Below are 21,331 nucleotides of genomic sequence, written 5' to 3'. Positions count from 1 at the left end.
TTTTATTATGGTTTTACCTTTAATGGTGCCATACTTAGAAAGATCACCTCTAGGTCCAGGCCTGGTGGCTCACACCTGTAATCCCAGCACTCTGGGAGGCTGAGGCAGGCAGATAATTTGAGGCCAGGAGTTCGAGACCATCCTGGCCAACGTGGTGAAACCCCGTCTCTACTAAAAATACAAAAATTAGCCAGGCGTGGTGGTGGGCACCTGTAATCCCAGCTACTCAGGAGGCTGAGGAAGGAGAATTGCTTGAACCCGGGAGGTGGAGGTTGCAGTGAGCTAAAATTGTGCCACTGCACTCCAGCCTGGGCAACAGAGCAAGACTCTATCTCAAAAAAAAAGAAGAAAGAAAGAAGATCACCTCTAAAATCTCTAAACTTCAGTATTTTACTCTATTAGGCTAACCTTTTATTTTGCTGTTATCTTTCATACTCTTAACACTAAATTTTTTTTTCTCTCTTGACCAGTGCACCTTAAACTTGAATGTACATATACATCATCTGGAAATCTTATTAAAATGTGTGTTCTGATTCAGTAGGTTTGGAGTGGAGTGACAGATTCTACATTTCCAACAAGCTCCCAGGTGATGCCAGTGCTGTCCCTGGCCTGCACTCTGAGTTACTAGCTCCTAAACCTTCAGCACTCAGTCCTCTGTACCCCCTACCTCCATTCTCTGACTCCTTCCTGAAGTTGCCTCCCTTCCTACCTAGTGTGAACCCCAATGGCAGCAATTTCAACTATAGCTCATCTCTGTTTTTCCAGAACAACAATCCTGGCAATCTCCATTCCAGTATTGATGAAGCCACCATTTCTTCCAGTCTCCAGCCACAGCACCCTGCAGGAAATCAGATAGTGTCCACGTACTTCTCTTAAAAAGATAGGATTTCTAAGGTACATCAGCAAGCCTTCACTTTGTTCCCACCCAGTTCCCTTTCCCATTCCTAGAGTAACTTTGCCTAAATTTAATCTTCTCAAGCTCCAGTCCCCCTCCTCAGACCTCTTAGTCAATGAACAACAATGAAAGGGAAACGTCTTCAACCCTTCCAGTGGAAATAACATTTAGCATAGTGACTACTGCACAATTAAAAAAAAAAAAACCTACTCAAAGACTCTACAATGTCATACTAAGACTTCCAACTCTTAGGCCAGGCAAGGTGGCTCACTCATGTAATCCCAGCACTTTGGGAGGCTGAGGCAGAAGGATCACTTGAGGCCAGGAGTTCAAGACTAGCCTGGCCAACATGGTGAAACCTGGTCTCTATTAAAAATGCAGAAGTTAGGCATGTGTGGTGTAAAAATACAAAAGTTACGTAGGTGTGGCGATGCGTGCCTGTAATCCCAGGTACGTTAGAGGCTGAAACACAAGAATCGCTTGAACCTGGAAGGCAGAGGCTGCAGTGAGCTGAGATTGCACCACTGCACTCAAGCCTGGGCAACAGAGTGAGACTGTATCTCAAAACAAACAAACAAACAAACAAACAAACAAACAATAAAACAACTTCTCTTTAAGAAAAAAAAAAAGATGGCCAGGCACGGTGGCTCACGCCTGTAATCCCAGCGATCTGGGAGGCCGAGGCAGGCAGATCGCCCGAGGTCGGGAGTTCCAGACCAGCCTGGCCAACATGGTGAAACCCCGTCTCTACTAAAAATACAAAAATTAGCCGGGCCTGGTGGCAGGTGCCTGTAATCCGAGCTACTCGGTAGGCTGAGGCAGGAGAATTGCTTGAACCTGAGAGGAGGTTGCAGTGAGCCGAGATCATGCCATTGCACTCCAGACTGGGCAACAGAATTGAGACTCCATCTCAAAAAATAAAGAAAGAAATAAAAAATTAAAAAAAAAATTCCAACTCTTGGAAAATTCCCTTTAAAGAGTTACGAATTAAGCTGGTTTATTTATGTAATAAACGCTTCGCACAGTTCTTACAATGTGCCTGCCAACCTTATTTAGGTAGGTACAATTAAGACTTCCACTTTACACACCAGAAAATAAGGCACAGAGTCGACACAGCCACTGAGTGTCAGAGCAAGAATTGGCACTCATCCCGTGAGCGCCTCAGTTCTTTTTTTTTCTTTATATATACTTTAAGTTCTAGGGCACATGTGCACAACTGTGGCACATATACACCACGGAATACTATGCAGCCATAAAAAAGGATGAGTTCATGTCCTTTGTACGGACATGGATGAAGCTGGAAACCATCATTCTCAGCAAACTATCGCAAGGGCAGAGCGCCTCAGTTCTTAAACCACTCTTCTATGCTGCGGCAGAATCACTGGAAGTCTCAGGGAGTCCTGAGTGCGCAATTCTAGGAAAAGTATCTATATCTGTAAGAAAGAAGGGGCAGGGAATCTAACGGTTCTCAGCTCTTGAAGGCACATTAGATTCATTCAAGGTCCTCTCTAAAAATACACTTTCTTGGGCCTCCACGAGAAAAATTCTATTCAATTAGTCGTGGGCTTGCATCCGTATTTTTAGTCTGTAAAAGTGGAATGTTATCTCAAATCAGTGGTTTTCAAACTTTTTATATTCTGCGGACCTTGACACGGGCCCCCAATACCCTGACACGGTTACTTACAATCCGGGAGAGAGTGGGAGAAAGGGGGAGAGAGGGAAGGGGAGAGGGGGAGGGGAGAGAGAGAGAATGAATGAGAATGAATCTTTTAGAGAGGTAGAGGGGGTTGGCCCGTGCCACAAACCACCTCTCAGGTTTGAGTGAAGCCTTCGTTCTCTCTCGTGCAGAGACCATGCCATCCTTCCAGAAAGGAGCATTTTAGGACGTTTTAGGACGAGAGACCTGTAATTGGCCTAAGACTCAGGTGCAGGTGGAGGAAGCATCGGATTTACAACAGTGGTCCTGCCTTCTTCGATGTGACTTCCAGTTTTAAATTCAATTCTAATTTACACAAATCCCACCCACTATGTAAACTTGTTGGAAAATGTCCTGCACTCTGCACTTCGTGGCATTTAAAACTTCCACACACGCGCGCGTTCTTTCTCGAAGCCCCGTGATTGCTTAGCCTCGCTGGGCAGCTTGGCACTGCTGGGAGCTTGGCTCGCCCTGCCGGGGCCGACGCCGCCCGTCCCGCAGGAGCCCGCGCGGGGCTCAGGGCACTCAGGACTCCGCATGCGTCCCGGCTCCAGGTGGGCCCCGGCACCGCCAACCGCAGGAAACCCGCCGAGCCCTAAACGTCTCCCAAGCGGCTGCAGTCTGCGACAGAGAGTGTCCCTCGGTGGAGCGCCCTGTGGCTGCCCAGGCTACAGCCGTGGCCGAGGCGAGGACACACTTCTGACCTGGGGCTCCAGCAAAGACTGTCCGCGAGCGGCGACTCCATGCCCGCAGCCCTCCGCCCAGCTCAGCCGCCCGGCCGCGGGCACCAGCAGCCGCGCCACGAAAGGGCGCACCGCGCGGGCGCCGTCTCTCCTAGGTGCGAAGGCGGCTGAGGCCCCGCCCGGGAGGCACCCGCGCGGCTCCGGAGTGGGCCGGAGGGACGTCCGGGGGCGGGGCCCGGGCGCGCCCGCCCTCTGACCGGGCTATAACACCCGGCCCCGCCGGGCGGCCGCGGGTGGGTAGAGGTGCGCGCCTGGGACCTGGTGAGGCTGGGGGTGCGCGGGGCCGGGCGCAGCTGTGGCAGCTGCCGGACGGCGGAGGCGCCAGGAGGAGGAGGAGAGGGAGGCGCGGGCGGCTGGGTCGAGGGCACCGAGGCTGCCCGTGCTCCCGGTCTCTGGTTGCACGGCTCACTCCCGAAGGTGTTGCTTCCAGCTTTTGCCTCCTTAGGAGGCAGGGAGCGTCAGTGTCGGGAGACCCTGAGACCGGAGTACCGAGACGTAGCTGGTGATGCCCCCGCCTGCCCTCATGTGTTCTCAGGTTCTTCTTATTTTTATTCATCTCTAGAACATGGACTTCCCGTGCCTCTGGCTAGGGCTGTTGCTGCCTTTGGTAGCTGCGCTGGATTTCAACTACCACCGCCAGGAAGGGATGGAAGCGTTTTTGAAGACTGTTGCCCAAAACTACAGTTCTGTCACTCACTTACACAGTATTGGGAAATCTGTGAAAGGTAGGGTCCGTCTCGTGAACACTTTGCCAAACCCTCAGTCCTCCCTTTCAGTATTCATTAAATATGCCCCAGCTTCCTGTCTGCTCTTCCACGCACCTACTCTGAGTGGCACAGAACAAGTCAACCGGTACCGTGCGTGTTGGTTGTTTTCTGCTTTTGTTGGGAGGAATAGTAGGAAGAACTGAATTTTACTGGACTTGTCCATTGTAATTCAGTGTCACTGAGTCCTTTCCATTATTGGAGTTCTTCTGTCTTTTTGGATCTTGCAGACATTGGTTATTTGGGATGTATGTTTTAGTTCCTTTTCAAGATAAACTCCCAAGTAAGTCCGTTTATCCGTTTCAGTTCCCCTTTGTGTGGGCTTCTTTATATATGACTTGGACTGTTAATGTCATTTCTTCATGTCTCTTTTAAACTGAAATAATGCAGTTTTGTTGGTAAGATTTCTGTGTCATCTGTAGTTAGCCTTTTATTTAAAGTTATGCAAAACTATCATTTCTGCAAGTTTCTTTTAATCTAAGTAGTACAGTTCTGTTGGTTAGATTTGTGTCGTGTATAATTAGCCCTATGGCTTAAAGTTATGCAAAAAAGTGGTTCTATGATTAAAGGCTGTTTTTAAAATGTATCCATTTGAAGAAGACAATGCTAGATAATGAATATATATTAGTAGTGATTGAAACTCTTCCCAGCATTTTCATATTTATCATTAATAATTTATTGTTCTAAGTTAGAAACTACATAAAGTTATTTTCATTTTTATAGACAGCAAGTTTGAATCAGATAAATTAAATAATTTGTTCAAGGTCTCCCAGATGGTGAATTTTATAGCCAGGACTGGCACCCATCCGGCCAAGGCAAATAATTTGATCAGATATCGTTATTTCATCTTTCTTTCTTTCTTTCTTTCTTTCTTTTTTTTTTTTTTTTTTTTTTGGTCAGAGTCTCGCTCTGTTGCCCAGGCTGGAGTGCAGTGGCGTGATCTCGGCTCACTGCAACCTCCGGCTTCCTGAGTTCAAGCAATTCTCCTGCCTCAGTCTCCCGAGTAGCTGGGATTACAGGAATGCGCCACCACAGCTGGCTAATTTTTTTGTATTTTTAGTAGAGATGGGGTTTCACCATATTGGCCAGGCTGGTCTCAAACTCCTGACCTTGTGATCCTCCTGCTTCGGCCTCCCAAAGTGCTAGGATTACAGGTATGAGCCACCGTGCCCGGCCGAGATACCATTATTACTTAATCATCTTTTATTATCCTGATGTTCCCAAAGAGGTTACCAGAAAACTTAGTCCTTAAATCAAAAGTTTCATAAATTTTATGCAATTTGGATCTCAACTTTTTGTAAGGTGTGTTCAAACTCTACCTTGATTTTAGCTCTGAACTTTTGAGTCAATTGAGAGTCTCATAATTACCATATTCTTCATCATTTTTCAAAAAAATCAAGGCTATGGCTTCTATATTAAAGAAAAAGTATTATATAAATGTATTTATGTGCAATGCGAAGTCAATATCCTGGGCTGTGTGTAATAGTAACTTTGTTTTTAAACAGCATTGCCAAAGAGATGGTGCCAGAATTACTCTATATTGCTCTATAATCCAAAATTATAGAGGTTGGGTGTGTGAGAAATCATATCTTGAATCAGCATACGTATTCAGCCTTCTGAAATCATTTTTCCCTAGGGCTAGAGTAGAGCAATTTAAAAAGATCTAGGAATACTAATTATATTAATTAAAAATATATAGAACACAACTAGCTTGAGTTATTGTTCAGTCATCATTTCAACCACAAGATGATGAGGATGTTGTTAATTTTAAGTACTAAGTGATTTGGTAAGGTTTTGTATTTTCAAACACAATGTGCTTGTGACAGTTGGGGGCTCTCTTTCCTAATATGAATCAGCAGTTGTGATCTATCCTGCATGATATCAAACCACAATCACAGTGAAAGTCAGCAGGCTTAATTTTGTTTTTAATTTTACCTTGTATGCACTCTTGCGGTTAAAGGCTTGAGGAGTTATCATGTAAAAATAAAATCTGACACTAGTGGTTAAATATTTGTGTTGAATATGTTGTTCTGAATAATAACTCGGATTAAGAAAAATCCCAAATCTGCCATTTGGCTCCAACTGGTAGATGAAACTGTATGCCAGTAACTGGGAGTCAGTTGCCAAAGTGTCACTGCACATTAGTGTGACAATTGAGAGATGGTGCTCCTTTGTTGGTGGTCTTTTTCACTAGATATTTTCCCTAACCATTCTGCCCTCTGATGTAAGATAAGTTTGCTTAGAAAACAGAATTTATGACCAGGCCCAGTGACTCATGCCTGTAATCCCAGCACCTTGGGAGGCCGAGGCGGGAGGATCACCTGAGGTCAGGAATTTGAGACCAGCCTGGCCAACATGGTGAAACGTTGTCTCTACTAAAAATACAAAAAATTAACCAGACATGGTGGTGTGCACCTGTGGTTCCCGCTACTAGAGAGGCTGAGACCGGAGAATAGCGTGAACCCAGGAGGCAGAGGTTGCAGTGGGCCAAGATCATGCCACTGCACTCCAGCCTGGGTGACAAGAGTGAAACTCTATCTCAAAATAAAAGAAAATAAACAGAATTTATTATACACGTGTTATTTATTTATTTATTTATATTACATGTATTAACGTGGGCAGTCTTACCCAGAAGGGAAAGTAATATTCCTAAGTAACTAAATACATGTTTAGTTTTTGTAAAAACTTAAATATATGTGCTATGCCTATGTAAATATATGCATATCACATATTTTCTTTGTTGTAATTGTGGATTATATTCTGCTTGTTTTTTCATTTCATGTTATTTCCTTAGATATTTCCATGAATTGACAAAGTCGGTAGATGTGAATTCGTTGCTGTTTAGTATTCTATCCTCTTGATTATGTGAATTTTCTTAGTCATTCACCTCTTTGAGCATCTGTATAGTTTTTGGTTAACTCTGTTATAAACAGGGATACTATAAAACCATTGATACATGTCATGATAATTACCTTCTATTATTATTGGTGATTTTTAAAAACGTTTTTATTTTGAAACTTTTAAAATCCACACAAAAGTTAAACACATCTATACCCAGCTTCAGCCATAGTAGACCATATTTCAGTTGAGCCTTTTGAAGGAAATCCCACTGCCTAGTGACATAGTAAAGAAAATCTTAGGTGAAACAAGAGAAGCAAAAAAGTACTGATGACTTAGTTCAGAAAAATCAGAAAAGGTACAGTGTTCATCAGTTCGTTCGTTCAATCCTCCGTTCAATTAAGGAAGCACCTCCCATTTTTTGCCCCAACCCCTTTGTCTAGAAGGATGCCTGGCACATAATCAATAATCTATATCTATTTATTTAATGGATCAAATATTTGCTGAGCAAAAGGCATGGGAAGCAAACAAACGTGTGTGTCATTCATTCCCTGCCATTAGGTAGCTCATTTTCAAATACAAATGTATTTACTGTGAATTTCTCAGGGTAGTCTCTCCACACACACCCCAAAATTAGTTTAGGAACATTTTATTATTTTTTTAAAAAATGAACCCTTGTGTTGAGGGTTGACTATCAATAGATAGCAATGAAAGAACTGCTCTGCTACATACAAAACCCCAAAGGGCCATTTTAAATGAGATTTCCTACCATCTATTTTAAGAATCTTGCATTGACTGGGTGTGGTGGCTCACGTCTATAATCCCAGCACTTCAGGAGACCAGCCTAGGCAACATGGGAGACTCCATTTCTTAAAAAAAAAAAAAAAAATTTAATTAACCAGGCATAATGGTGCATGCCTGTGGTCCCAGCTACTTGGGAAACTGAGGCAGGAGAATCACTTGAGCCTGGGAGTTCAAGGCTGCAGTGGGCCATGATCGTGCCACCGTACTCCAGCCTGGCCTACAGAGCAAGACCCTGTCTCAAAAAAAAAAAAAAAGTATCTTGTCTTGCCTCCTGCTAAGTCTGATCATCATTGTATCTGAATACAGTAGGCGGGATAATAACACCTTCCTTACTAGTGATAATACTATTAGAGATTTTTTAAAGCCAGCCAAATTTAGTAGTCTCTGTTATCAAGTACTTTCCATGTAGTAAATAGTTTAAGACATTATTTCGATCTCAGCAACTCAAAGTAGGCCTTATCCTCATTTACAAAACAGGTAAAATGAGGCACAGAGAGGTTAATTAACTTGCTGAAGATAACATAGCTAAGTATTAGAAGATTCAAACTCAGATCTGCCTATTTCCCAAGCACCTCTCTATTCTCTTTTAAAAAGCAGCTTGACATTTAAGTCTTTAATCCATCTTGAATTAATTTTTGTATAAGGTGTAAGGAAGGGATCCAGTTTCAGCTTTCTACATATGGCTAGCCAGTTTTCCCAGCACCATTTATTGAATAGGGAATCCTTTCCCCATTGCTTGTTTTTCTCAGGTTTGTCAAAGATCAGATAGTTGTAGATATGCGGCGTTATTTCTGAGGTCTCTGTTCTGTTCCATTGATTTATATCTCTGCTTTGGTACCAGTACCATGCTGTTTTGGTTACTGTAGCCTCGTAGTATAGTTTGAAGTCAGGTAGCATGATGCCTCCAGCTTTGCTCTTTTGGCTTAGGACTGACTTGGCAATGCGGGCTCTTTTTTGGTTCCATATGAACTTTAAAGTAGTTTTTTCCAATTCTGTGAAGAAAGTCATTGGTGGCTTGATGGGGATGGCATTGAATCTATAAATTACCTTGGGCAGTATGGCCATTTTCACGATATTGATTCTTCCTACCCATGAGCATGGAATTGTTCTTCCATTTGTTTGTATCCTCTTTTATTTCATTGAGCAGTGGTTTGTAGTTCTCCTTGAAGAGGCCCTTCATGTCCCTTGTAAGTTGGATTCCTAGGTATTTTATTCTCTTTGAAGCAATTGTGAATGGGAGTTCACTCATGATTTGGCTCTCTGTTTGTCTGTTACTGGTGTAAGACTTAAACGTTAGACCTAAAACCATAAAAACCCTAGAAGAAAACCTAGGCATTACCATTCAGGACATAGGCACGGGCAAGGACTTCATGTCTAAAACACCAAAAGCAATGGCAACAAAAGCCAAAATTGACAAATGGGATCTAATTAAACTAAAGAGCTTCTGCACAGCAAAAGAAACTACCATCAGAGTGAACAGGCAACCTCCAAAATGGGAGAAAATTTTCGCAACCTACTCATCTGACAAAGGGCTAATATCCAGAATCTACAATGAACTCAAACAAATTTACAAGAAAAAAACAGACAACCCCATCGAGAAGTGGGTGAAGGACATGAACAGACACTTCTCAAAAGAAGACATTTATGCAGCCAAAAAACACATGAAAAAATGCTCACCATCACTGGCCATCAGAGAAATGCAAATCAAAACCACAATGAGATACCATCTCACACCAGTTAGAATGGCGATCATTAAAAAGTCAGGAAACAACAGGTGCTGGAGAGGATGTGGAGAAATAGGAACACTTTTACACTGTTGGTGGGACTGTAAACTAGTTCAACCATTGTGGAAGTCAGTGTGGCGATTCCTCAGGGATCTAGAACTAGAAATACCATTTGACCCAGCCATCCCATTACTGGGTATATACCCAAAGGACTATAAATCATGCTGGTATAAAGACACATGCACATGTATGTTTATTGCGGCACTATTCACAATAGCAAATACTTGGAACCAACCCAAATGTCCAACAACGATAGACTGGATTAAGAAAATGTGGCACATATACACCATAGAATACTATGCAGCCACAAAGAATGATGAGTTCATGTCCTTTGTAGGGACATGGATGAAATTGGAAATCATCATTCTCAGTAAACTATCGCAAGAACAAAAAACCAAACACCACATATTCTCACTCATAGGTGGGAATTGAACAATGAGAACACATTGGACACAGGAAGGGGAACATCACACTCTGGGGACTGTTGTGGGGTTGGGGGAGCGGGGAGGGATAGCATTAGGAGATATACCTAATGCTAAATGACGAGTTAATGGGTGCAGCACACCAGCATGGCACATGTATACATATGTAACTAACCTGCACATTGTGCACATGTACCCTAAAACTTAAAGTATAATAATAATAAAATAAAATAAATAAATAAAAATAAAAAGCAGCTTGACACAGATGGGGATGATTCCATGGAAGTTGAGGTCATTAGTAGAGGGTTTTAGGACCATGGTTTGGGCACATTTGACCTGAAGGTATAGCTCTACCAAGGATCTAGAGCTGTTCAATTCAGTAGCCATTAGCCACTAAGCAATTGAGGAGTTGAAATATGACTAGACCAAACTGAGGTGTGCTAGAAAGTGACTTTGAAGACTTAATACAAAAAAGGAAAATATTTCACTAATAATGTTTTATATTGATTACATGTTGAAATGATAATATTTTAGATATGTTAAATAAGAAATATTTTTTTAAATTAATTTCAAGGCCAAAAGCAGTGGCTCACACCTGTAATCCCAGCACTTTGGGAGGCTGAGGCAGGTGGATCGCCCGAGCTCAGGAGTTTGAGACCCGCTGGGGCAACATGGCAAAACCCCATCTCTACCAAAAATACAAAAAATTAGCTGCGCATGGTGGCATATGCCTGTCATCCCAGCTACTTGGGAGGCTGAGGTGGGAGGATTGCTTGAGCTTGGGAGGTGGAGGTTGCAGTGAACCAAGATTGTAATTGTGCCACTGCACTCTAACCTGGGTGATAGGGTGAGACCCCCATCTCAAAAATAAATAAATATATAAATAAAAATTAATTTCACCTGTTTCTTTTTACATTATTGTAACTAGCAGAAGATTAAAATTATATATATGACTTGCATTATATTTTGATCGGACTGTGCTGCTATAGAGTGCAATTTGTTATTATTAATTTTTTCCTGCGTACAAAAGGAATTCTAGTTCATTTAGAAAATTTGGATCATACAACAAAGCACCAAAAAGAAAATTAAAATCTCACCATCCAAAGGAAACATTTAGTAGACTGCAATCATACTACACAGTTTTGAGCCTTTTTACCCCCCTGAGTCAAATATCTTATTTTGTTTGTCCATGCAAACATGTTATCTCTAAAACTTGATTTTTAATTTCTGTTTTGTGTCCTGTCAATAGATATTTTATTGTTTAACTTATGCCCCACTGGTGAATATTTAGTTTGTTTCTAAACTTTCGCTGTTATGATCAATGCTGTAGTGAACATCCTTGTAGCTAAGACAGCAAAAATCTGAGCACAGGCTTTGGAATCACCTGCCCAAGTTCAAATTCCGGATTCTCAGTTTTGTAGCTACGTGACCATGGGTCTTTAGAATAATTCCTGGCACATAGTAAGTGCTATGTAAAAGCTGCTATTATTATTATTATTAATACATACCCAAAAAGGAAATTACTAAGTCTAAAGCTGTTTTAAGTATTTGATATATATACCAAATTGCCTTCCAAAAAGATTGTGTTGATTTATAATTTCTTGGGAAATGCATATTAAGAAAAATAAAACAACTCTTCTAAAACTTACACTAGTCATAAATCAATACTGTCATTAGTGCTTTGAAAGATGATTGTAGTATGTATTTCTCATTGTTATGTTGTAAGTATGAGGGAGAATTTATTTCTCTTGCCCCTTTCCCTAAGAACTCTCACCTTCCCATCATTAACAGACATTCACTGAATTCCTCTACTAGGAGTCCTATACCATTTCAGATGTTCAGAAATCTCCCTAACATTGGTTAAGATTCTTGCTCCTAAGAGGAAAGTACTATGTTCACATACACAGATCTCTCATGATCACTTGCCCTCAACTGGATAGATTTTAGCCGGTGATTTACCCTCAGAAAACAGCATTGTATATAAAATTTTGGCACAACACTTGGTCATCCGTCACACTCTGCTCATTTCCCAAATATGCTCGTAAAACCAGTTTGCTTGAGATCCTGTATAAAATGCCTATTGTGATGCAAATACTGACATATTGAGGATGAATATGAAGAAAACCACTAAAATCTAGGAAATTCAGCTATAATATACATGTTTGTGATTTAAAGTTATATGGGTTTAGTAAGCCTTTCCCCTTTAACATAATACGCAGAGTACCTTTCTGAGACATTTATCAGCTATCAGCCTTATTCTTATTCTTGAAACATTCAGGGTTTCTTAAAGACATTGCCTTTTTTTTTTTTCTATATGGAGTCTCGCTCTGTCGCCCATGCTGGAGTGCAGTGTCACAATGTCGGCTCACTCCGCCTCCTGGGTTCAAGCAATGCTCCTGCCTCAACCTCCTGAGTAGCTAGGGTTACAGGCACCCACCATTGCGCCTGGCTAATTTTTGGTAGAGACAGGGTTTTACCATGTTGGCCAGGCTGGTCTCGAACTCCTGACCTCATAATCTGCCCATCTCAGCCTCCCAAAGTGCTGGGATTACAGGCGTGAGCCACTGCGCCCTTCCTATCACTTATCTTGTCATGCTTACATTATTCCCCACAATTTTAGGTTTTTTTTTTTTTTTTTTTTAAGTAGAGACAGGTGTCTCACTATGTAGCCCAGGCTGGTCTCGAACTCCTGAGCTCAAGTGATCCTCCTGCCTCAGCCTCCCGTAGCTCTAGGATTAAAGGAATGAGCCACTGTCCCCTCCGCCCACAATTTTCTAATGTCCTCCATAGGGTAAGATGAGCTTACAATTATCTGAGCCTAAAACCAAAATCTTTTTTGTATACAAATACAAAATATTTCCCCCCAACAGTTTTAATATATACTGAACTTTTCAGGGATGCCACTATATGTAAATTGAGGGGAAATTATATTTTGTTTTGCTCTTAACGTGACTGAGAGATATTTCATATTCAGAGAATCCTGACAACAGTGAACAAAGAGCCAAACCAATCTGCATTTGTAATCTATATGTTCACGGTGACTCTCAAGTATAGATACAAGCATGTGATTTCTTTGTCTTCTAGTGGAGTACCCAAGTTATTGCATATGGATACCATATCTTATGTAAATTGCATTCTTTTTTTATTTCTGCTTTATATAGTTTGAACACTATATTGATCTTTTGAAATTATGTATGTAAATGTGTTAGAATTGTATGCCAGCATGATAAAATAGAAGTTGCAAAATATTGGATATGAAAGCAAGAGGCATCATCTGATAGAGTTAAGAACTATTGGTGTAAAAGCACAAAGAGAGCTGTTAAGGACCCACTTGAAGCTCATGTGGCCAGCATCCAAAAGGTGCTTAGTTTCTGTTCTTAATCCCTGAACGTGTGTATCTGACGGTAACACTGTGGTTACAGCAGTATCTACATTTGAGATGTGATAACTGCCATTAGTCCTGATTCCTCCTTTCAGTTTGTGTGTTTAGAACACCCCTTTCTCTAAGAATGCAAAGTAAGAAAGTAAGATGTAAAAAAAAAAACAAAAGAAAACCTTAAAGTGAAATTACTCAAAACACACACACACACACACACACACACACACACACACACACACACACACACACACTCTATATCAAATACCAACATGCATTTGGGTTAAGGGAAGGAGACTAAGTCAAATTTAGTCAAATCTTCCTGTTTGGAGCTAGGCTTGGTCCTGTAGTCCCAGCTACTTGGGAGGTTTACACAGGAGAATCACTTGAACCCAGGAGTTTGAGGCTGTACTGCACTATGATCGCACCTGTGAACAGCCACTGCACTCCAGCCTGGGCAACACAGCAAGAGTCTGTCTCTTTAAAACAAACAAACAACAAACAAAAAACACTTCTGTCTAGTGATTTAAAACAATTGACATTCTTCCTAGCAATTAAATGTAATACTGTATAGTAGTTTGTGAAGAGGTTAGTAAGTCCTAATTTGAATTTGTGTTAAAATAAAAGACACAAAATGCACATTAAAAATGTTTCTCATCTCTGTTTTCTGAGGACTGCTGCATGTCACAGGTTTTAAAAATACACATTTTCTATCTGTGACCTTTCACATACATACCTTTGTCAAGCTCAACTGGAGGGCTTAATCTCCACTGCATCAAAAAAAAAAAAAAAAAAATGCTGCCAACTTCAAACAAATTGCCTTGGAGCTGGCTTCACAGAGTTATCACGCACTTACCCGGAGTTGAAGATAACTACCTTGACAGTGGGGATACAAAGGCAGTAATGATAGTGCCTACTACCCCAGTCTTTAGTCTATCACAGAATTCAGGAGAAGCCAATTAAGTAATCCTTCTGTTTGTTTAAAGAACTTTCAATTAGTTGCTTATCCAGTTTTTAAATTATTCTGATGCAAATCCGTGAAAACTAGAACCACACTTAAAAATCACAACTAAAGTATCATGAATTGACAGTTATTCAAACACATAACTAAGCCTCCTTTCCCACATAATACACACGCACATATACAAATACAGGCAGGTGAAATTTAGCATAACATCATGTTTTTAGAGCACGAATAAATGTTAGAGACCATTTGATCATTCATTACGTTAATTGAAACTTAGTTCAAAATGTTGCTTCCTCCAGGAAGCCTTTTTCTATTCCCTGGGCAGAGTCAGAATCTCCTTCCACACCTCTTCTCCTCTTGAGCATCTTCCAGTAACTCTATGTTCACATAGAGGCCAAGGACCAGGCTTTGTTCAGCTTTGTATCCTAGGCACTAAGATGTGCTTATTACATGTAACAGATACTCTCAAGGACAAAGATTAAGAGTTATTATGTGCTTATTAAATGAAACATATGAATGCAAATATATTGTATGTAGTATATTAAATAATACATAAGTATATAGGATGTACATTTTTAAATATACTTTTATATTGTTACATATATTATATGTAACTTTATACACTTTTATATAGTTACCTATATTGTATGTAAGTTCTTCAGTCCCTCAAGAAAATGACATTGTTTTCTTATGAACTTTTTGTTAAAATTAGTTTTATATTAGTAGTAAATAATATGATAACTTAGAGAGGTAGAATTGGGGGACCACAATTATGCCCCAGTTCAAGATAAGTCACTGGCATGTAGGAGAAGGCCTCAGAGAAGTTACGGACTTTCAGGCAGTAAAGGACACAGTTGAATTATTCACTGGCTAGCCTAAAATGGGTCTACCCCCACCCCTTGCCTTCAGCCCCCTAAAACACTGACCAAACATGTAATAAGAAAAGAGTAATTATAGGAGGTTCACCACCATCACACTCACCCCTGCCTTCATTAAGAAGTGTTTAGGCTGGTTGCGGTGGTTCACACCTGTAACTCCAGCACTTTGGGAGGCTGAGGCGGGTGGATCACTTGAGGCCAGGAGTGCAAGACCAGCCTGGCCAACATGGTGAAACCCCATCTCTACTAAAATTACAAAAATTAGCCGGGCATGGTGGCAGGTGCCTGTAATTCCAGCTACCTGGGAGGCTGAGGCAGGAGAATCGCTTGAACCCGGGAGGTGGAGGTTGCAGTGAGCTGAGAGCCGAGATCACACCACTGCACTACAGCCTGGGTGACAGAGCAAGACTCTGTCTCAAAAAAAAAAAAAAAGTGTTTAAATAAATGCCTCTGGCTTTATTTGAACAGTCCAGGAATAATTCAAGGGTCTGTCACAGAATTTTGACAAAGAAAAAAGGTGGGAGGGATCATGTGAAGAAGGCCTTTTTTCCCCCAAGAGTTAAGCAGGGGCCAGGCACAGTGGCTCAGGCCTGTAATCCCAGCACTTTGGAAGGCCAAGGCAGGCCGATTGCTTAAGGCCAGGAGTTTGAGAACAGCCTGGCCAACGTGGCAAAACCCCGTGTGTACTAAAAAAATGCAAAAAAAAAAAAAATTAGCCAGGCATGGTGGTGCACACCTGTAATCCCAGCTACTCTGGAGTCTGAGGCGGGAGAATCACTTGAACCCAGGAGGTGGAGGTTACAGTGAGCCGAGACTGTGCCACTGTACTCCAGCCTGGCCCACAGTGAGTCTCTGTCTAAAAAAAAAAAAGAAAAAGAAAAAGAAAAAGAAAAAAAAAGCTTAAGCAGAGATATGAAACCCTTCCATTTTAAGTGTCTTTTCCCCCCTCTATACTCAGAAATGTTGTACTTATTTTAGGTGAAGGCAGATGATATGTCTAACTATTCTTGCTGTGAGTGGTCCAGAAGGGCACAGTTTTGGAAATACACAGATGAACTGTTGAAGGTAGTTTCACCTTAATTTTTAGTCCTTGTTAAATATTTATTCCCTTGTCCATTGTTGGTGACTCAGTTGAGCCCACTCGTTAAAATCCTTTTCACGGGGATAGTCACTCTTATGAAAACATAGACACCTAGAGACATGTGGGAAGCGTAGGGTCATTTAACATGTGGCGATTCTACAGCAGTTTTCCCATTGTTTAACTGGAGAGATTTATTTACAGCTTGTGTTAGGCTGTTCTTGGGTTGCTAGAAAGAAATACTGGGTAATTTATAAAGAAAAGAGGTTTAATTGGCTAAGCGTTCTGCAGGCTGCACAAGCGTGGCCCCAGCATCTGCTCAGTTTCTAGGGAGGCATCAGGAGGCTTTTACTCATGGCAGAAGGTGAAGCAGGACCAGGCACGTCACATGGTGAAAGCAGAAACAAGAGAAAGAGGGGGTGGGAGGTGCCACACGCTTTTAAACAACCAGATCTCGTGAGAACTCACTCATTATTGTGAGGACAACACCAAGCCATGAGAGATCCACTCCCATGACCCAAACGTCTCCCACCAGGCTCCACCTCTAACATGGGGGATGACATTTCAGCATGAAATTTGGGGGAACAAATATCTAAACTATTCACACCTTACTAATAATACTAAATGTGCACAGTTAAATTTCAGATAAAGATTGTTCAATTGGGGCAGACACGTAATTTTTTCCATTGCTCTTTGGGACTCAGATGAATAATCTTAGTGTGGTAGAGATAAGCCTAGCTGGTTTGTCATGTGTTACTGTCAGTTCCTTTCAATTTATGAAGAAACAGAAAGATAAATTGGGAAATGTCACATTCTAGCCTTGACGAACTTTTTAGTTGGACTTGGCCATCTTTCGAGTTGTAAGAACATGTACTTCTAAGGGTACAAAATGTGTTTCCAAACTCTATGGCATACAGTTCTAGCATAACACCATGTCAGTCAATTGCAGAAACTTCCAAACATTTTTTACACTGAGAGCTCTTTGGTCAAATAATTCTTGCTTGGAAGTAAATCCCAGTCTGTGTGTGCCAGGCACTGTGTTAGGCTAGAGACAGAGTCATGAGCAAATAGCATCTCTGCTCTGATGTTTCTTACATGTGCTAGTGAGGGAGGCAAACAAAAAACAAGGCGAGTTCAGATTTTGATCATTGCTATGAAGCAAATACATAGTTTAGTATAATGGAGAGTGACAGTTACTGTGGAACATAGGTTCCATGAAAGCATGGAGCCTATCCTACTTGTCACTGTATTTTCAGTGCCTAAAACATAGCAGTTACTGTTTGAGAGAATGTTGTATGGAAAGAATGACAGGAGGCCTGCCTGAAAAGATGGTAGGTTAAAGTGGAGATCTGAAAGGTGACAGTCAGCTAGATCTTATAGCCTGATTACAAAGTGCACAAAGTGCAAGTGATGTGCAAAGGCCTCGAGGTGGAAAGAGTAGAACAGAAGTGAGACCAGGGTGGCTGGAGCCCAGTGAGCAAGGGGAAAGTGGTCTTTGAGCAAGTTGGAAGGTACACAGGGGACAGAGCATAGAGTGCCTTCTAAGCCAATTCTAAAGTGGAGAGTTTGAATTCTGTTCTGAGAATAATGGGAAACCATTGAAGGGTTTTAAGAAGAGAGTGATGCAATCTGATGTGGGTTTTAGAAAGATAACTTTAGCTGCTGAATACAGAAAATGGCCAGAATAGAAGCAGGGAGACTAATCCAGTTACAGTAGTCCTGGCAAATGTTGATGATGGTGATTTGGATTAAGATGCTCTGTTAGGAATGGAGGCAAGTGAAAGGATTGGAAATCTGTTTTGGAAATAAAACCAAGAGTACTTGCTAATGGGTTGGGTTGGGTTGGGTTGGATTGGATTGGATTGGATTGGATTGGATTAGATTGGATTGGATTGGAGGAGGAAGGCGTGTGAGCAGAAGAGGAAAATCAAGGATGATGCTTAGGTTTTGTGCTCGACTGAGTGTATGAAGTGTTCTTATGTTAGATGGACAAAACTGGAAGAGGACAGATTTGGGATGAAATCAAGGGCTCTGATTCAGACATTTTCTTTAGAAATTGTGAACTCCTCAGGAGGTATCCAGTGGAGACGGTTGGGTATATAAGTGGAGCTCAAGAGAGAAGTTTGGCTGCAGAAAGAAAGTTGGGAGTCATCAACATAGAAATGGTATTGAAACCTGCAGGACTAATAAAATAATCTAGCAAGAGAGTAGAGATAAAGAAAAGAAGGCCAGAATCGAGCTATAGCACCGTCACACAGTTAGTCTGATAGAGTAGAGGAGCCAAGAATGGAGATGGGAAAAGATCAGTAATGAGGTAGAAGGAAAATTAAGAGTGATGTCACAGATGTCAAAAAGGGGAGTGGCTCAAGAAGGCAGTTGTTTTGGGGAGTACCATGACCACCTACTAGTGATTTGCTGGAAGGACTCACTCACGACTCAATATAGAATCATATTCAAGGCTAAGATTTATTACAGCAAAGGGTATGGTGCAGGAACAGCAGGATACAGATATATGGTGGCAAAACTAGAGAAGTCGTAGTAGGCTTTCTTGTCCTCTCTCTGTAGGGATTCCACATGTTTCTCAGGAATGCATGTTTCTCTCCAGCTGTAAACTGCAGAGACATATGCAAAACGCCTCCACCCAGGAAAGCCCACTCAAGTCTTAGGGGTTCAGAGCTGGTCAAGGGAGCTGGTCGTGTAGCTATGTAACCAGCCAGGATGCAGACCCCAAACTAGGTACTAGGATGCATCAGGAATCTTCATGTCAACTTTAAACAATGATACTGTCTTGATATATTTTGACCACTGCCTTGAGGGCACAAAAATAACATAACTAATTAGTAAGCATTTCAGGGAGTTTAGTGCTCAGGATTTGGGTCAGGGTCATTGCTGTGACTGCAGGTGTTCCCAAAGACAAGCAAGAACTGAGTAAAACATACTGGCTATGTTAACTCTTTCCTCTAGAGGTCATGGTTAATGTTGAATGCAGGTGAAAGTCAAAACTGAGAGCCATAAAGTTAATTTCTATATCCCAAAGTATAGTTAGTGAAATTATATTTCTCTCCAGATAGATTCATTCCACTTATTTAGTAAACATTTATTGAATGCCTAATATAGTTCATGGCATGTGCTAGCATGAGACTATAGGGGTAAATAAGTTAGACATGGCACCTGCCCTGAAGGAGTTGACAAACCAATAAACGCAGATGTCATTAGCTGTGTGCGAGAATATGACAGAGGTCTCACGGCTGAGACCTGAAGGATAAGAGATCAGCCAGGTGAAAAGGGAAAGGCGAGGCAATAAATAGCACGTTCAAAGGCCTGGAGGTGAAGGAGCATATTGACTTTGAGGAGCAAAAGAAGTTCAGTGTGGCTGGAGGGGAGAAAGGAGAAGGTGAGTGTGGGGTAGATTATGGAGGACCTTATACAGGCTGTTAAACACGTTTTGCTTCATCCACGGGGAGATATAATCCTAAGGGTTTTTGCTTGATAGGAAAATGACAGATTTGTTTTCTTGATTGAAAAATTTCTGATAATTTTACAGTTAGTTTTGCATTGCAACAGAGATTCTCTCTCTCTCTCTCTTTTTTTTTTTTTTTTTTTGAGACAAGAGTCTCGCTCTGTCACCCAGGCTGGAGTGCAATGGTGCGATCCCAGCTCACTGCAACCTCCGCTTCCTGAGTTCAAGCGATTCTCCTGCCTCAGCCCCCGAGTAGCTGGGATTACAGGGGTGTGCCACCATGCCCAGCTAATTTTTGTATTTATAGTAGAGATGGGGTTTCACCATGTTGTCCAGGTTGGTCTCGAACTCCTGACCTTGTGATCTGCCTGCCTCAGCCTCCCAAAGTGCTGGGATTACAGGCATGCACCACCGTGCCCAGCCCAGAGATTCTCTTTAAGAAATTTGGTGCAACAGTCATTTCTGGGACAAAAAGTAGTGAGAAAATACAAACACACCAGGGTAAATAAACCAGAGCGCCACAAAATGTAATATTAAGTGTGTAAAAATAATAATCCCTGAGAGCTATCAGTGTGAAAAGTTTTTATTTGAATGCCGTAATTGAATGGAATTGTTCATTTAAACCTTCAAGTGAATTTATTTTTATGTCTAAAACTTATTAGAAATGTTTCAATGGTGATTATATGTAGTTTCTTTTTTGCCTTCAACAGAGCACAGATCACACAGAAAGGAATGATTTTTTTTTTAATCAGCAATTTTGGAGACAAATTCTATGAATGCCAACCTATACAGAAACTGACAAGCATTAATTATTCAGAATGTAAAGAGAAATGCCAGAGTATTAAGGAACAGATACCTAGATTTAAACATAATTTTGGAATATTATAATTATTATGAATTACAACCACTTATATTTGAGGCAGTATGTAACAGCTGTGTGCGTGAGCAGGAACATGAGAGGGAACGTAACCTGGTCTCATTTTCTAGACAAGCCATTCAAGAGGAGCAAAGAGAGTGGGAAAATGAAAGCAATGCCACTACTGATTATTGAACATCTTTATCTGCCATGCACTGTGCTAGGCCCTTTACACATTTTCCTTCTTTAAGCTATTTAAAAACTGCGATAAGTTCCTTACATTCCCATTTTATAGGCAAGAGCAAATAGATTTTACAGATGAAGAAATTGATGTCCCAAAATGATATCTTGGTAGGTGATAGATTCGGTTCGGTAACCCAAATGTGTCTTTTAGCGATTTATGTATTCATTCAACAAATATTCATTGAGTTCCTACTGTCTACCAGAACTTTTGTAAGGGGATGCAAAGAAGAACAGACCCAGGTCTTTCCCTTTATGAACTAGGGCAGTGGGCCTTACACCCAACTGCCGTAATGGGAAAAGCATTGTAATGGGGCTTTGTTCGTTACAGTCAACAGTGCAGTGTAGGGATGCTTTGTAAGCTGGCCTACAGGGTGATTGGTAAAGTTGAGAAAGGCTTATCAGGGAGGCTGACATTTGAACAAAGGTTTGGATATTACCAGGCAGAGAGATGGAGGTGGTAGGAATTCCAGGTAAAGCGACTGGGAAAACACATGCTGTGCTTGGGTGGCAGGAGCAGTCCAGGGAGG

The 21,331-nt window shown here is 41.4% G+C and overlaps 1 protein-coding gene across 28 annotated transcripts in view, besides 2 other annotated features; it reads left to right on the top strand.

The window, feature by feature from the left end:
- The window catches only part of CPM (carboxypeptidase M), a 121,273-nt gene that overhangs the window by 26,733 nt on the left and 73,209 nt on the right, over positions 1-21,331 (top strand). For 11 of the 28 annotated variants that reach the window (XR_001748577.3, XR_001748578.3, NR_182143.1 and 8 more), the window contains exons 1-2: positions 3,566-3,595; positions 3,897-4,059. Coding sequence is in view for 12 of the 28 variants with exons in the window: in NM_001413394.1 (NP_001400323.1) it covers positions 3,900-4,059 (160 nt within the window). In the remaining 16 variants the exon portion in view is untranslated. Of the gene's footprint in view, positions 1-765; positions 895-3,505; positions 3,608-3,869; positions 4,060-4,114; positions 4,382-21,331 lie in introns of those variants that run through there. The other 17 variants (NM_001413398.1, NM_001413393.1, NM_001874.5 and 14 more) reach the window with 8 other exon arrangements.
- Positions 3,187-3,296: a silencer, noted in NCBI's record as "silent region_4650". NCBI's record gives its function as "represses an Ori minimal core promoter by ATAC-STARR-seq in GM12878 lymphoblastoid cells {active_cell/tissue: GM12878}" and the evidence as "EXISTENCE:reporter gene assay evidence [ECO:0000049][PMID:35858748]".
- Positions 3,327-3,686: a silencer, noted in NCBI's record as "silent region_4649". NCBI's record gives its function as "represses an Ori minimal core promoter by ATAC-STARR-seq in GM12878 lymphoblastoid cells {active_cell/tissue: GM12878}" and the evidence as "EXISTENCE:reporter gene assay evidence [ECO:0000049][PMID:35858748]".

This window comes from Homo sapiens, chromosome 12 (assembly GCF_000001405.40).
Source record: "Homo sapiens chromosome 12, GRCh38.p14 Primary Assembly".
Taxonomy (NCBI): Eukaryota; Metazoa; Chordata; class Mammalia; order Primates; family Hominidae; genus Homo; species Homo sapiens.
Note: the sequence above shows the minus strand (reverse complement) of the source record. Positions and strands in the feature narration are given on the sequence as shown.